This window comes from Homo sapiens, chromosome X (assembly GCF_000001405.40).
Source record: "Homo sapiens chromosome X, GRCh38.p14 Primary Assembly".
Taxonomy (NCBI): Eukaryota; Metazoa; Chordata; class Mammalia; order Primates; family Hominidae; genus Homo; species Homo sapiens.
In genome coordinates this window covers 50,905,018-50,919,094 of record NC_000023.11, presented here as the reverse complement: position 1 = coordinate 50,919,094, position 14,077 = coordinate 50,905,018, and the positions used below count along the sequence as shown (strand labels likewise).

The 14,077-nt window shown below is 42.3% G+C and overlaps 1 protein-coding gene and 1 pseudogene across 1 annotated transcript; both read right to left on the bottom strand.

The window, feature by feature from the left end:
* Window positions 2,454-8,360, bottom strand: BMP15 (bone morphogenetic protein 15). The gene is made up of 2 exons (NM_005448.2): window positions 7,984-8,360; window positions 2,454-3,338 (listed from the first exon to the last, which is right to left on the bottom strand). The coding sequence occupies exons 1-2, from the start codon at window positions 8,309-8,311 to the stop codon at window positions 2,488-2,490; spliced, it is 1,179 nt and encodes a 392-aa protein (NP_005439.2). The 5' UTR covers window positions 8,312-8,360; the 3' UTR covers window positions 2,454-2,487.
* Window positions 12,733-13,740, bottom strand: H3P44 (H3 histone pseudogene 44; annotated as a pseudogene).

Below are 14,077 nucleotides of genomic sequence, written 5' to 3'. Positions count from 1 at the left end.
ATTAATCCTGAACCTTCCATAAACAGATTAAGTTTCCTATGTATTCAGCACTCACAAGGCTAGGAGATCATGACTTTCTGAAAATCCCTAAGAACAAAGATGCTGAACTCAGGATCTGGTCCTATAATCGAGGTCCATCTTCAGGCCTGTTAGATATTTGTGCCTACCCCAAGTAGGCTGGAGAAATGGCTAGACTGGAAGCCCATAGTTCCCCTCCCAGATAAATCTGCAGCATATATAATGATTACAAGAACTGCCTTACTTAACATAGCTATTACATTCTATTATAATTTAAATCATGATTTTGAAATAGTAGGATATAATAATCATCTTACTTGATACACAAACTATTTTATATTACATTGATTCCCATGGAAAAATAAAATATGTGAAAATTGAGATGTTCCATGTCAGGAAGAATGCATCACTCACAAAAAAATGTCATAATTGAGTGTTTGTATTCATTAAGGACCTACTAGATGCCAGGCTCTTATAATATAGAAAAGGGTAAGATGCAGTTGAAACTCAAAAGGGGCTCCGTGTTTTTGTAAGAATAGACATATATACTAGAGCGTATTAAAGGCAGGTATAAAGTGCTATATGAACACAGAGGGACACCTAGAGACTTGCAAAATATTCAGTCTAGCTGAAGATGGACCTTGGTTATAAGACCAGATCCTAAGTTTAGCATCTTGGATCTTAGGGATTTTCAATAAGTCATGATCTCCTAGCTTTGTGAGGTCTGAATACATAGGAAACTTAATACACACCTGAGGCTGGTATGTCAAGGGGACATTGAGAAGATGAGAAATGCCTGAGTTGATTCTTAAGGATACAGTAAAGAAGGTAGACAGGCAAACTGATGTTAAGGAATAGCTCCTCAGTCACAAGAATAAAATTTGCATTTATACACTTGCAAGATATTCAGCCTAGTTGGAACCAGCTTTTGAAGGGAGTGGTAAAAGGAGTTAGTTTACAATGAATAGGTAAGAAACGTAGGGATTTGACAAACACACATACCTACCCTAAATCAGTCCCATCCCATGAGAATTGCCATAAGACTAGTCAAGAGCAATTGGGCAGGGAAAGACTTACTGGCCCCTTAGGGGCTTCCCTAAAGGGGCACCTTGGCGAGGGCTGATGGCTAGCAGTGTTTCCTTAAGAGAGAAGAACTTCAGAGGACGCTCCAGCCCTGCCCCTCAGGGATTAGGGTTGAATTCCTAGCCATAGCTAAAGGGAACAAAGGAAATAAATTCCTTCCAATCTCTCCCAATTCTAAAAACAGTCAAGATTTTCTTCAACAGTGAAATGATTTATTTGCAACAAAACCCAGTCCCGTCATTTAAATACAGTATAGGAGTAGAAAGGAGTCACACTGCAAGCATCATTTATTTCAAGGCATCGTTCCATGTCTCCCAAAGACAACAAGCCCTTCTCCCTTAGAGACCCCGGTCCAGATCCAAACTGAACACAAGAAACAGGCAAGCCCAGAATAAAGTCAGCTCCAGGCCTTGGCAGGTTTCACCCTTATTCTGTAGTCCTTCCTTCACAGCCCTCTAATCCCCTGCACCCCCAATCAGGCCAACTCCTAGCCTCGGAGCCACCAAGGAACTTTGTAGGATAATTTACAGGGGTTTAAGTGTCACATAAGGAAAATACTCTGAACTCTATTGTTCCATAGAATACTTAAAATAACTCCCCCATTCATAATACTAATCAGCAATGACAGGTTTTCTCTTCTTCACCATAAATGCAGGTTTGAAGTAGATTATCTCAGACAGCTCCATACTCTAGTTTCCTTATGGGCTTCATTAAATGCTACTGTACTCACCTAGGACAGGAAATAATCCCAGATACTTTTCCCAGATTCAGAGGCTAAGAGGAAAAGCCCTGCTGGTTTAGAAAAACATTTCCTTCCTTCTAGTCCCTCAAAAGATTTCTATAAAGACTGTTACCTGAAAAATTTCCAGTCTGAGAAAAGTTTTAGAAGGTAATACTAACACAGAAGCAGGCAATTTATCTGATTAGCTACTAGTAGTTTCCAGGACATAGGAGGCAAGAAGAGGAGTATAAAATCCCAAGCTATTTTCACCACCCCAAATCTTATAGAGCGTCAGAATATGGACACTAGGAAAATATGGACACCCACCTTTCCCAGGCTGGGAAAAGTTGGAAAATTTCTGAAGTTCTACCACTACTGACTGCTGACTTTTGACAAAGCCCCAAGGAAAGTAAAATAGAGGACATTTTACCCAAGCATTAAGGGCTCTGATTAGTGGTCAAACTGTACTGATTCATGCTAGGGGACTGGTATCAGAACTGTTTCTATAAACTGACTAGCTCACAAGTGGGGGAAGAGACTTAAGTAACACTTAAGGCAAGAAATATAACCTACAGATTGGTACAGGATTACTTGCAGCTTTAACACTGATATTTTAAACTCTCCTCCAGTTTCCTGGGAAACCTGATCTAGCCGTACTGTTGCTGTCATCTGCATGTACAAGACTCAGCAATCATACCCTCATACTCCTTGTACAAAATACTCCCATTTGCCTCAATCATAAGGACACTAATTGGAACATACTTATACGGGACACAGGAGGGCCGGGGGACACTCTGGTCCACCAACTGATTGATAAGGTTCTGAATAATGGCGTGATTGGGGGAATTGAGACCATCGCGTAGTACTCGGAGACAAGTTCCTTTACAGTAGTTTGGGGTGTAGAAAGGGGGAGCAATGATCCAGTGATCCCAACCCAGCTGGCGGAAGCTGATTTGGAAAGGGTGGAGGGAACACTGGTTATTTTCAGGCCCGCTATGTTTTGAGGAAGAGGCAGTAACCTCAGCTGAGATACCATCTGCTTGTCGGGTTCTCCGGAGAAGAGATTCCCTTTCCATGAACTCCTCCATGCCCCTGGGAAGAAATTTAGCCTTCCGAATGCTTTTATGAGTATCATTGAAATAGAGTAACAAGAAGGCAATGTCCAAGGATGAAGTGCCATGCCAGAGCTCAAGACCACCACTATCTTTTTGCTGCTGACACATAAAACGGAGTCGTAGGATCCTGTGTCCCTTGTTATTCCAGAACCTTTGCTGAACAAGTTGTGTGATATCCATCTCTTTCCAAGCGTTAGACATCAGGGAAGGTTTTGAGGAATCTCCTTCTGAGGAAGGGAAGTGGTTGGTTGGGTTTTTCTGCACCCAGGGCTCCACATGGCAGGAGAGATTGAAGCGAGTTAGTTGGAGATGATGGCGGTAAACCACAGTGGCTCTAACTAGTTGGTATAGTCCTCGGTTTGGTCTGAGAGGAAAGCCCAGGATCTGTATATGCCAGGTACCTGCAGAAGTAAGAGGGAACAAGAGCAGAGGTTTAGCTTCTTACCTCTTAACATGAATATTCCTCATAAACTGTCTTGATATAGACTGATAGCTATAATCAGCCCTAAAATTAACTCAAGATAATGATACTATCATTTACTGAGCACTTACTAATACACTAGATGCTTTACATGTATTAGCTCTTTAATTCTTAATAGTCTTATGAGATAGTTATTATCCCCATTTTGCAGATAAGGAAATTGAGGCTCAGAGAAGCTATGACAAAGGACACACAGCTGGTATGTGGTAGAGTTAAGATTTGAACCCAAGTCTGTTTTTCTTAAGAGAAACTGTCTCACTGTTAGATTACTTACAGTGCTGGGCTCGGGGGAAAAAACTCAAATATAGAATTATCTTGTGTGCATACTGTATGTAGGGGAGAAGATCAATATTATTATTAGTTGACCATTAAATGTGTCCATTTAGAATTGTTGAAACATACATGGATTAAGAAAGAGTCTCATGTCATATCACTATACAGATGCAGCTTTGGGACAACAATTCAGTATTGGGTGCTATGGCCTGCTATAATTTCAAACTCAGGACCAAGGCACTACAAAATAATTTTGTCTATCATCCTCTAGTACAGACAGCTATCTTACCACTTCTGCCTTCCATCTACTTCAAGAATTGCTTCTTAAGCATCTTTTCCTCCTTTGGCCCTTAATCTCTCTCTTTACCACTCCTTGCTGGAAATTGTTCTCCATTTACCCCATTCATTTTACCACTATTCCTCTATATACTATTTTCAACACAGTCTTGATCACATAAATATTTTGTTTGCTGAGAAGTCTACTAAAAGCTGGATGCTGCTTTGTGAATAAGAGCTTTAATCCAAACTGTAGTGCTGACACTCAACGGCCAAAGGATTGAAAGGTTACATCCATGGTGCTCCAAACTTCTGCACCCCCTCCCGGCGAAGGTCAAGAGCAAAGATTACAAAAGCCTGGCACCACAGGAAAAAGCCACCTCTCATCTTCAGACATCTTATCAGTAAATAATTCCATGTTAATTTGTATTTATTCACCTAGTCCTTCTTCTCCACTGAATCCACAAGCCTGGAATTCTTCATTAGATGTGGCATTTTTAACACAGAAGTTCTTTTACATCTTGATGTTCCAGAATTTTTTTTTCCAGAGTCTCCCTCTGTCACCCAGGCTGGAGTACAGTGGCACAATCATGGCTCACTACAGCCTTGACTTCCCAGGTTCAAGAGATCCTCTCACCTCAGCCCCCATGGATAGCAAGGACTACAGGTATGTGCCAACATGCCCAGCTTTTTCTGTTTTGTTTTTTGTAGAGACAGGGTTTTGCCATGTTGCCGGGCTGGTCTCGAACTCCTGGGTTCAAGCGATCTGCCCCCTTTGGCCTCCCAAAGTGCAGGGATTAGCCGCCCTTTGAGCCACTGCACCCAGCCCCAGAATATCTTTAAAAGTTCAAATTCCGGCTGGGCGCGGTGGCTCACGCCTCTAATCCCAGCACTTTGGGAGTCTGAGGCGGGCGGATCACCTGAGGTCAGGAGTTTGAGACCAGCCTGGCCAACATGGTGACACCCTGCCTCTACTAAAAATACAAAAAATTAGCCGGGCGTGGTGGCAGGCACCTGTAATCCCAGCTACTCGGGAGGCTGAGGCAGGAGAATGGCGTGCACCCGGGAGGCAGAGGTTGTAGTGAGCCGAGTTTGTGCCACTGCACTCCAGCCTGGATGATAAGAGCGAAACTCCATCTCAAAAAAATAAGTAAAATAAAAGGTCAAATTCCAACTCATGCTTAATATACCCTTGGGCTTGGCGCACTAGACATTATTCACACAAATCCAAGCCAGGCTTGTATTTGCTTTCTCAAGTTATTCCACACTCCCATCTTACAGTAATCTTTCTTAGAGGCCCACCCTTAAACCTGCTCCACCCTGGCTATAAAGGAACTCAACCCAAACCTCTAGCAGGCTGTCTGGGGAGGAACTGCCCTTTTCTTTGAGACCTTGACATCACATGTTTCCTGAAGCAGGATGGGGTTGCTAAGAATCAGAGCCAGGAAGGGTCTGGTCAAAGCTTTTCAGGGAAAGGGCTGAATCACACATCCTGTGTGATTGAACCTGTCATCTGTCTCTGGATCCTTTCCACAGTCCCTAGATACCAGTATATTCCACAGTGAGACCAGGATACATGTCTAATTCTAGGCATCCTCCTTTCTAGCCTCACATCATCTGTACAAGCCTAATTTTTTCTTAATTTGTGGGGTTGTTGTTTTTTTTCCTTGAGACAGGGCCTCACTGTCACCCAGGCTGGAGTGCAGTGGCACAATCATGCCTCACTGCAATCTCAACCTCCCAGGCTCAAATGTTCCTCTAGTCTCAACCTCCCAGGCTCAAATGATCCTCTGGTCTCAGCCTCGTGAGTAGCTGGGACCACAGGTGTGCACCACTACACCCAGCTAATGTATTTTTATTTTTTGTAGAGACATGTCTCCCTGTGTTGCTCAGGCTGGTCTCAGTCTCCTGGGCTCAAGTGATCTTCCCATATTGGCCTCCCAAAGTGCTTGATTTTTTGCAACTTTCTGCTGCTCTTAGGATCCAGATCCCTTATCACAGCCTACAAGTCCCTGCTTCTCATTAGCCTCATACCCTGCCATTTCCCACAATGCTCATGAGGATCCAGCCATACTGATTTTCCTCTGTTCTTCAATTGGAACCAACTTGTTTTCACCCTCTAGGCATTTGCACCTGTTGTTCCTCTGCCTAAATCAGGCTTCTCCCTACTCTTCTCATGCCTAGTTTATCTTATAGACCTGAGCTCAAATGGCACTTCTTCAAAGATACATTCCCTGACAAGTCCATGGAAAGGGAAGGTTTCATTGCCATTCTCTATCTTAACAACCTACTTCATCCTTTGATAGCACTTACCACAATTCACAATTTAACTGTGTGTGCTTATTTGTCTCCCCTACGAGAACATATGTTCCATGAAAGTAGGGGTTTTACCTATCTTGATCACATCTGTATGCCTAGTACTCAGTAGGTGCCAACATTTGGCACCTAATATTTGTTCAATGAATCTCTACCCACACCATTTTCTCTTTCCTAAATCAGAATGCACTTATCTGCCTCAATGCATGACCTCTTTGCTCCTTCTGCAAGGTCAGTTTCAAGTACTACCTCCTCCATGAGGCCTTCCAACAGTCTCTTCACTTCAAGAAATGAGCCATTTCTTCTCATAGGTCCTGGGAGCCCTACTGTTTGTCCTTTCCAAAGCACTTGGCATACTGTAACATTATTATGTAATTATCTATCCATTCCACTATACTGGGAACTTCTAGAGGTCGGAAAAGTATTTGCTTCTATATACCCAACCCAAACACACTGCCTGGCACTCAATTAAAATCCAGTGGGGAGTCAGAACAGCAAGATGATTAACACACAGGCTTTGGGCCTGAGAGCCTGGGTTTGATACCTGGCTCTAGCAATTACTGGTTGTATGACATGGGTAAGTGACTCTGATCCTCAGTTTCTTCACCTATCAAGTAGGCATGTTAATACTACCTAATCTGGTAGTTGTGAGGATTAAGATAATGTTTATAAAACATTTTGTGCAATGCCTGGCACACAGTAATCTCACAGTAAGGGTTAGGTACGAGAATATTTATTGTTTTGCTTGGGGAGGGGATTAAGTCCTGTCCCTTTTCATCTCAGACTAGTGAAGGCTACAGATTGATCTCACTAGGTTCCCAAGAATTCCTTGAAGTTGATGACTGTCTGCATTCTCTAGAGAGTCCTACACTTCAATAGCCCACTGTTGTCCTGCAACAATGTCTGATGCAAATGTTAAAAGCAAAATCAAGCATGATGGGGACAAAAAAAAGTTCCAAAATACACTTAGTCCCAGAATCCCAAAGTAGCAATATGGCCCAAGTAGAAAAACTATTGGGGGTACAAGGATATTGGAATACTGCATTTAAAGACTTAAGAAGTTACCGACAGACTTTAGAATCAGACAGACTTCAGCTGCAATCCCATCTCTGCGACCCACTATCTGTGTACCATTTGCAAGTTACTTAACCTCTCCGTGCCTTAGTTTTAAAATTAGGCTAATTGCATCAAGACAGTTAAGATAGTAGCTTTCATTAAGAAATACAGTAGCACATGTTCACAGAGCCAGGTATACAGACCCTCAGATGTAAGCTTATTTATGTCCTTTCTGAGGCCTTATAAGTTTCCCCAACTCAGCAAGCTGTACTCTAAGAGCAAAACGCCACTTAAATAGCCCTCCACAAGAATATAGCTGGATATGTCTCTACAGTTTTCAGAACTATCACAAGCAATAAAAGTTTCTGTGAAAGATAGGTGATGGCACATCACTCAGTTGTCCTGGGGCCTGGGAAAGATTTCTCAGTAGGCACCAAGGCAATCTGTTCTTAAGTTGATGCCCTAAAGGGAAGTAGGCTTGGCGCTGGCTTCTCCAAAGCTTGCCATCCTTTGAAAACCAAGCCTAAAGAAACAACCTGCCCACAAGGCAACAAAGCCTGACAGTAAACCCACCAATTCCCTTTTCTCTACACTCCTCTCCACTTCTCTCCCTTCCAGGGCAGTATGGGGGCATAACAACTCACCTCTGTGAGGCCTTGCCACATTGGTCAAGGGCTTCACCAGCCTCACCATGGTGGCCCCAATGGTGCGGTTCTCTCTAGGGTGCCCATGCGAGTCAGCTGAACGCCGGTACAACTCCAGCATGTACCGCAGTGAATGCCCTAGGAGCCGGGGCTTCCTTGGCTGTTCGCCAGGGGATTCTTCTAGCAGCTCCTCAATCAGGGGCAAAGTAGGGGCCTCAGCCAGAAGGGCAATAGAGGACTGCCCTCCTTCTGCCATTTGGGCCCTGTGTTCCATGAAAAGCACGAGTTCACAAAGAAAAAGAATTCTAAGAATACTGAGGAGGACCATCTTGAAAGGCTTAGTGTTCAACAACAGGCCCCAACACAAGCCCAAGGGACGTCACTCTGACCATTTCCTTTCATGCAGATAACTGCATCCTGGCTCCACAACCAAGGATGGGGCAAGAAAAAGAAAGGCAGGCAGGCCCTATGTTGCTTTCTCTAAGAGGATCTCCTGGACCAAAGTTGCCTCATAACTTGGCCTCTTTGCATCAAAAGAAACAGAAACAGAAGGTGGGACAAGGCAGCATGCCCCTCCCGCTCTCCCGGGCTGAGAACAAGATAGTACCTATTGAGAGGCTCAGGTAACTTAAAAGGAGAGGTCCATTTCAGGACCCACTTCCTTAACTTATCCACTAGAATGAAAAAAAGCAGCCTGATCCTACTTGCCCCTACAGCCTTAAAAGTAGTCCCTTAATCCATCCTTAAAGGGCCAGAGGCCTCCTGTTCCCATCCTACTTCCATGCCTCTAATGCAGCATTTCTCAAAATATTGTCTGCTAATAATCTGCAGTGAAACTATCTGGGGTGATTATTAAGAATGTAGACTCCTGGGTCTGAACCAGGATTCTCTGGGATGGCGTCCAGAAATCTGGCTCTTTACCAGTGCTCCAAGAAGTTCCTATGAAAACCTAAAATGTGGAAACTACTGAGTATGGCTGCTGGAGCTTGAAGAAGATGCCGTAACAGTGGTTCTCAATCTTGGCTGTAGATTGGAATCATCTGGGAAGCTTTAACTATTATGAATGCCTGGGTACCATTCTGATGTAATGGGCCTGGGTTGTAACTAGTGCATCAGGATTTTTTTAAGTTCACAAGTGATTTTAATGTGCAGCCACGTTTAAGGACTCTGACTTATAATTTTCTGGTTTACCTTGGAAGGTGTTGAGATCCTTATTGGGCTTCATTAGAGAAGCCTGAGGAAGGGGAAGAGTAATCTATGGGAGCTAACCTAGCCCAGATGGTTAATGTGAAGCAGCAGGGCTCGGCCAGTTTTAAGGCTGCCTCAGACCATTATTCTGCAGAAAGATAGTAGGTATAGTCCTGGCCGTACCGAAGTAGAAACATATGGGGATCTGGAGAGAAACTGGGGAAGCAGGTCAAGACCTGGCTCTAGGAGATGATGAGTCAGGCTTGATTTGTGGGAGGCCTTTACCTTACACCAGGAGTATCTATGGACAGACATTACTGTGGAACAGGCGTGGACTTGGTAATCAGGCAGATCTGTGTTTGAGTTGCAATTCTGTCCCTAGCTGTAATTTAACCTTTCCAAGGCAAATTTCTAGCTGTAATTTAACCCTTCCAAGACAAATTTCTTCACTTCCCTACACCTTAGTTTTCTCATCTGTAGAATGGAGATAACACGTTTTACCTCACAGGTTGTTGTGAGGAAGCAAGGAAATAATCTATGTTAATTGCACAAAGCCTAATTAGACACAAGACATAGGGTTACATGTTCAAATTTATTTGTGCTCTTCCTCTGTTTTTTTTTCTAACATGACCTTGGGCCCTGGCATGTAGTGTAAAACAAAAGGCATAGGTTTACGGGTCCTCTACATCTGGACTCAAATTTCAGCTCAAAAACTCATTAGCTGGGTTACTTTAAGCAACATTTCTCCCAGACTTAGTTTCTTCATCTATACTGCTGGCTCCTTCAGAGAGCTGTTGTGAGGGTTGTATTGTATAATATACAAGTAAGGGATATAAACAGATGATTCACAATAGGCAAAATTTAGATGGTCAAATGTATGAAAAGATGTACTGGAAATCAGAAAAACGCAACTGAAAACAACATTAAGATACTATTCAACACCCAGTATTGATAGCACATTAAATGGATCGATAGCACATTAAAAGTCTGGCACTATTAAGTTCAGGTGAGGATATGGAACATAGGTATAATATATAGAATATCTATATAGATATTCTATATAGAGAGATTCTATATAGAGAGATATGGAACATCTCACACTGCTGTTGAGAGTGTGATTTGGTATAATAATTTTGGAGAGCAATCTGGCATTATCTCTGTTAAGGTTGAAGATATACAATTCAGCAATGCTATTGCTAAAGCAGTAGCAGTTTTAGATACTTTTGTCTGTGACTTACAAAAATGAATACATTTTACATTGCTACCCATTACAAACACAAGCACACACGCATATATACCTTGAAGTAAATCTTTTCTGAAACAATACTTATTCTTACAACATATTGGAAGAGGCAATACAGTTGACCCTTGAACAACATGGGGGTTAGGGGTGCTAACTCGCCCCCCCATCTCCCATGCAGTCAGAATTTGGTATAACTTGACTCCCCAAAAACTTAACTACACGTCAACCTTGAACAACATGGGTTTGAACTTCACGAGCCCACTTAAACACGTTTTTTTTTTCCCACCAAACATGGATCAAAAATACAGTATTCTCAGGATGCAAAACCCGCTTACATGGAGGACTGACTTTTTGTATGTGTGGGTTTTGAAAAATAGACTGCACGCGACTTGAATATGTGCAGACTTTGGTATCTGCAGGAGGTCCTGGAATCAATCTGTCATGTATACAGAGAGGAGGGATGACTATACTAATAGTCCGCTGTTGGCTAGAAGTCTTATGGATAACAATCAATTAACATATTTTGTATGTCGTATGTTTTATATACTGTATTCCTACAATGAAGTAAGCCACAGAAAAGAAAATGATTTTAAGGCCAGGGGCAGTGGCTCACACCTGTAATCCCAGCACTTTGGGAGGCCAAGGAGGGAGGATTGCTTGAGCCCAGGAGTTCCAGACCAGCCTGGGCAACATGCTGAAACAACGTCTCTATGAAAAATACAAAAATTAGCCAGGATGGTGCATGTACCTGTGGTCCTAGCTACTCAGAAGGCTGAGGTGGGAGGATAGCTTGAGCCCAGGAATTCGAGACCAGCCTGGGCAACATGCTGAAACAACGTCTTTATGAAAAATACAAAAATTAGCCAAGATGGTGCATGCACCTGTGGTCCTAGCTACTCAGAAGGCTGAGGTGGGAGAATTGCTTGAGCCATAAAGGCGTCACTGAACTCCAGTCAGCCTGGGTGATAGAGTAGGACCCTGTCTCAAAAAAATGATTTAAAAACATAAAATACGTTTACAGTATTGTACTGTATTTATCAGTACTCTAAGTTTTACATCGTCTGTCTGAAATGGCAGGTAACCACAGCTGCAGATCTCAATCTATGATACATATTAACCAATTCAACTTTTTGTTGGAATGTCATGACTTTGCTTTTTAGGAGCACTTCTGGCAGCAGTAGTGGCACTTCATGTGAGTCCCACGGTGTTATTCATGGTTTACAGTATTGCACTAAACACGATGAAATGTACATGGTGAAACGTACAGGAGAACTACCAGAGATGGCTTTTTTTTCTTTTTTGAGCCAGAATCTCACTCTTTTGCCCAAGCTGGAATGCAGTGGCATGCTCACAGCTCACTGCAGCCTCAAGAGAGATCACTTTTTATCTCCATATGCAATTTATTGTTAAAGCAGACCACTCAAGGGGAGATGATTAGCATCACATGGTGGCATTTTAAGCAGATACTCTCAACACTTGAGCTCACCACCATGGCAAGAGGAGGTGGGTACGTAATTTCATGCAGTTATGATTTAATACTGAATCTTTACATTTGTTTACATTTCTCTTCACTGTGAATGGCACCATGTATGGTCTGTGGGTGTGTAAATTTTGATAAATTTTAACTTTTTATAACAGATTTGTGTGTATTTTATGGTAGAAAATAATAAAATAGACTAGTTTATATATATATTTATACATTCATAACATATGTAACTTTTTCTTAAGTTTTTTGATATTTCTAGGCTACACAGTTCATCTGCAATTTTTACCAATTGTTGAAAATCTCCAAAAATGTTCTAATATATTTATGGAAAAATATCTGCAGTTCAAACTCTTGTTATTCAAGGGTTAACTCTATATCATGGCAGGTGAGAACACAGCTCTGGAGGCAGAATCCTAAATTTAAACTCCAACTCCACTGCTTGTTAGCTTGACCTTGGATAAACTACTCAACTTCTCTGTGCCTCAGTTTCCTCATCTGTAAAATGAAAATCATAGCCTCTCTCTGCTACAATGTTCTAACATGTAAAACAGGATTTTTGTGAGGATTAAATGAGTTAACAGATGTAAAGCACTTAAAAGAGTGCCTGGCACAAAGTAAGTACTAGATGTAGGTTAGTTATTATTATATTTGATGCAAGCTGAATTCCCCAGAAAGCTGGGGCTCAACCTGATATGCCACTTCTAGCCTCAGGAGTTGTAGAGCGGCAGCCACACAACTCCCTCCTTTCCTAACCCCTTCCCTGCTTCCCAACATTTTCTTTGTTCTTTAACCTCTGTCTGTTACCAATTTAAACTTCCTATCTTTCTTTTTTTATAGTTTAATGTATTTTAATAGCTAACTTACAGGAACAGCACAGAAGACAGACAACATTAAAAACATGTACTTGCATGTAAGACAACTCAATTAGAAAAGTATAGTGAATGGATGGAATCTACTGTATGATAAAAAATGCTACAAACACCATTTAGTTGCCGTCGATAAGAAATTAACTTGTTTAAAAAAAATCCAAATGCTGGCATTGTCCAGAAAAATTTAACAGATTTATAATTGTTATAAAGTTGAACCGCTGAAACTTGTTCACTGAAACATTTTAACTTGCATTAATGCTTTATGTCTCCACATTTATATTAAAAATTCAAACACAAATGAAAATGGAAAAACTGTCAATACCTGATTTCTGTCCCCTATTTTTCCACTCACAATCATATAGTTAGGTACATTTTGACCCCATGGAAAAAAAAATATCTAACGTTCAGAACTACCAATAACAGGAAGAAGATTTTTTTTTTTTTTGAGAATGAAATGTTTCACATCATGGTGTATTCTGAAACACGTTCTCCACGTATGTGGCGTGCTAGCTGGATGTCTTTTGGCATAATTGTTACACGTGTGGCATGGATAGCACACAGGTTGGTGTCTTCAAAAAGGCCAACTAGATAGGCCTCACTTGCCTCCTGCAAAGTACCGATAGCTGCCCTCTGGAAGCGCAGATCTGTTTTAAAGTCCTGAGCGATTTCTCGCACCAGACGCTGGAAGGGAAGTTTGCGAATCAGAAGTTCAGTGGACTTCTGATAATGTCTAATTTCACGGAGTGCCACAGTACCAGGTCTGTAACGATGAGGTTTCTTCACCCCTCCAGTAGAGGGCGCACTCTTACAAGTGGCTTTTGTAGCCAGTTGCTTCCTGGGTGCTATACCACCGGTAGATTTGCGGGCAGTCCACCTTGTACGAGCCATGGTATAGAGACCTCCTTCGTTATCCCCCTTCTGCTTCAGGTGGAGCTCTGCAAGCGAGAGGCGGCGGTGGTGTTGGAGAGCGAACACCACTTCCTATCTGTATTTATTTATTTATTTATTTATTTATTTATTTATTTATTTTATTTGAGACGAAGTTTCGCTCTTCTTGCCCAGGCTGGAGTGCAATGGCACGATCTCGGCTCACCGCAACCTCCGGCTCCCTGGTTCAAGCGATTCTCCTGCCTCAGCCTCCCGAGTAGCTGGGATTACAGGCGCGTGCCACCACGTCCGGCTAATTTTGTATTTTTAGTAGAGATGGGGTTTCTCCATGTTGGTCAGGTTGATCTCGAACTCCCGACCTCAGGTGATTCGTCTGCCTCGTCCTCCCAAAGTGCTGGGATTATAGACGTGAGCCACCGC

What these genes read in the sequence shown, in the direction of transcription:
- BMP15 (NM_005448.2), bottom strand. Translation starts at nt 8,311, where the DNA reads ATGGTCCTCCTCAGTATTCTTAGAATTCTTTTTCTTTGTGAACTCGTG. An exon ending in TGTGGCAAGGCCTCACAGAG is followed by an intron (nt 3,339 to 7,983) that starts GTGAGTTGTTAT and finishes TTACTTCTGCAG; the next exon opens with GTACCTGGCATATACAGATC.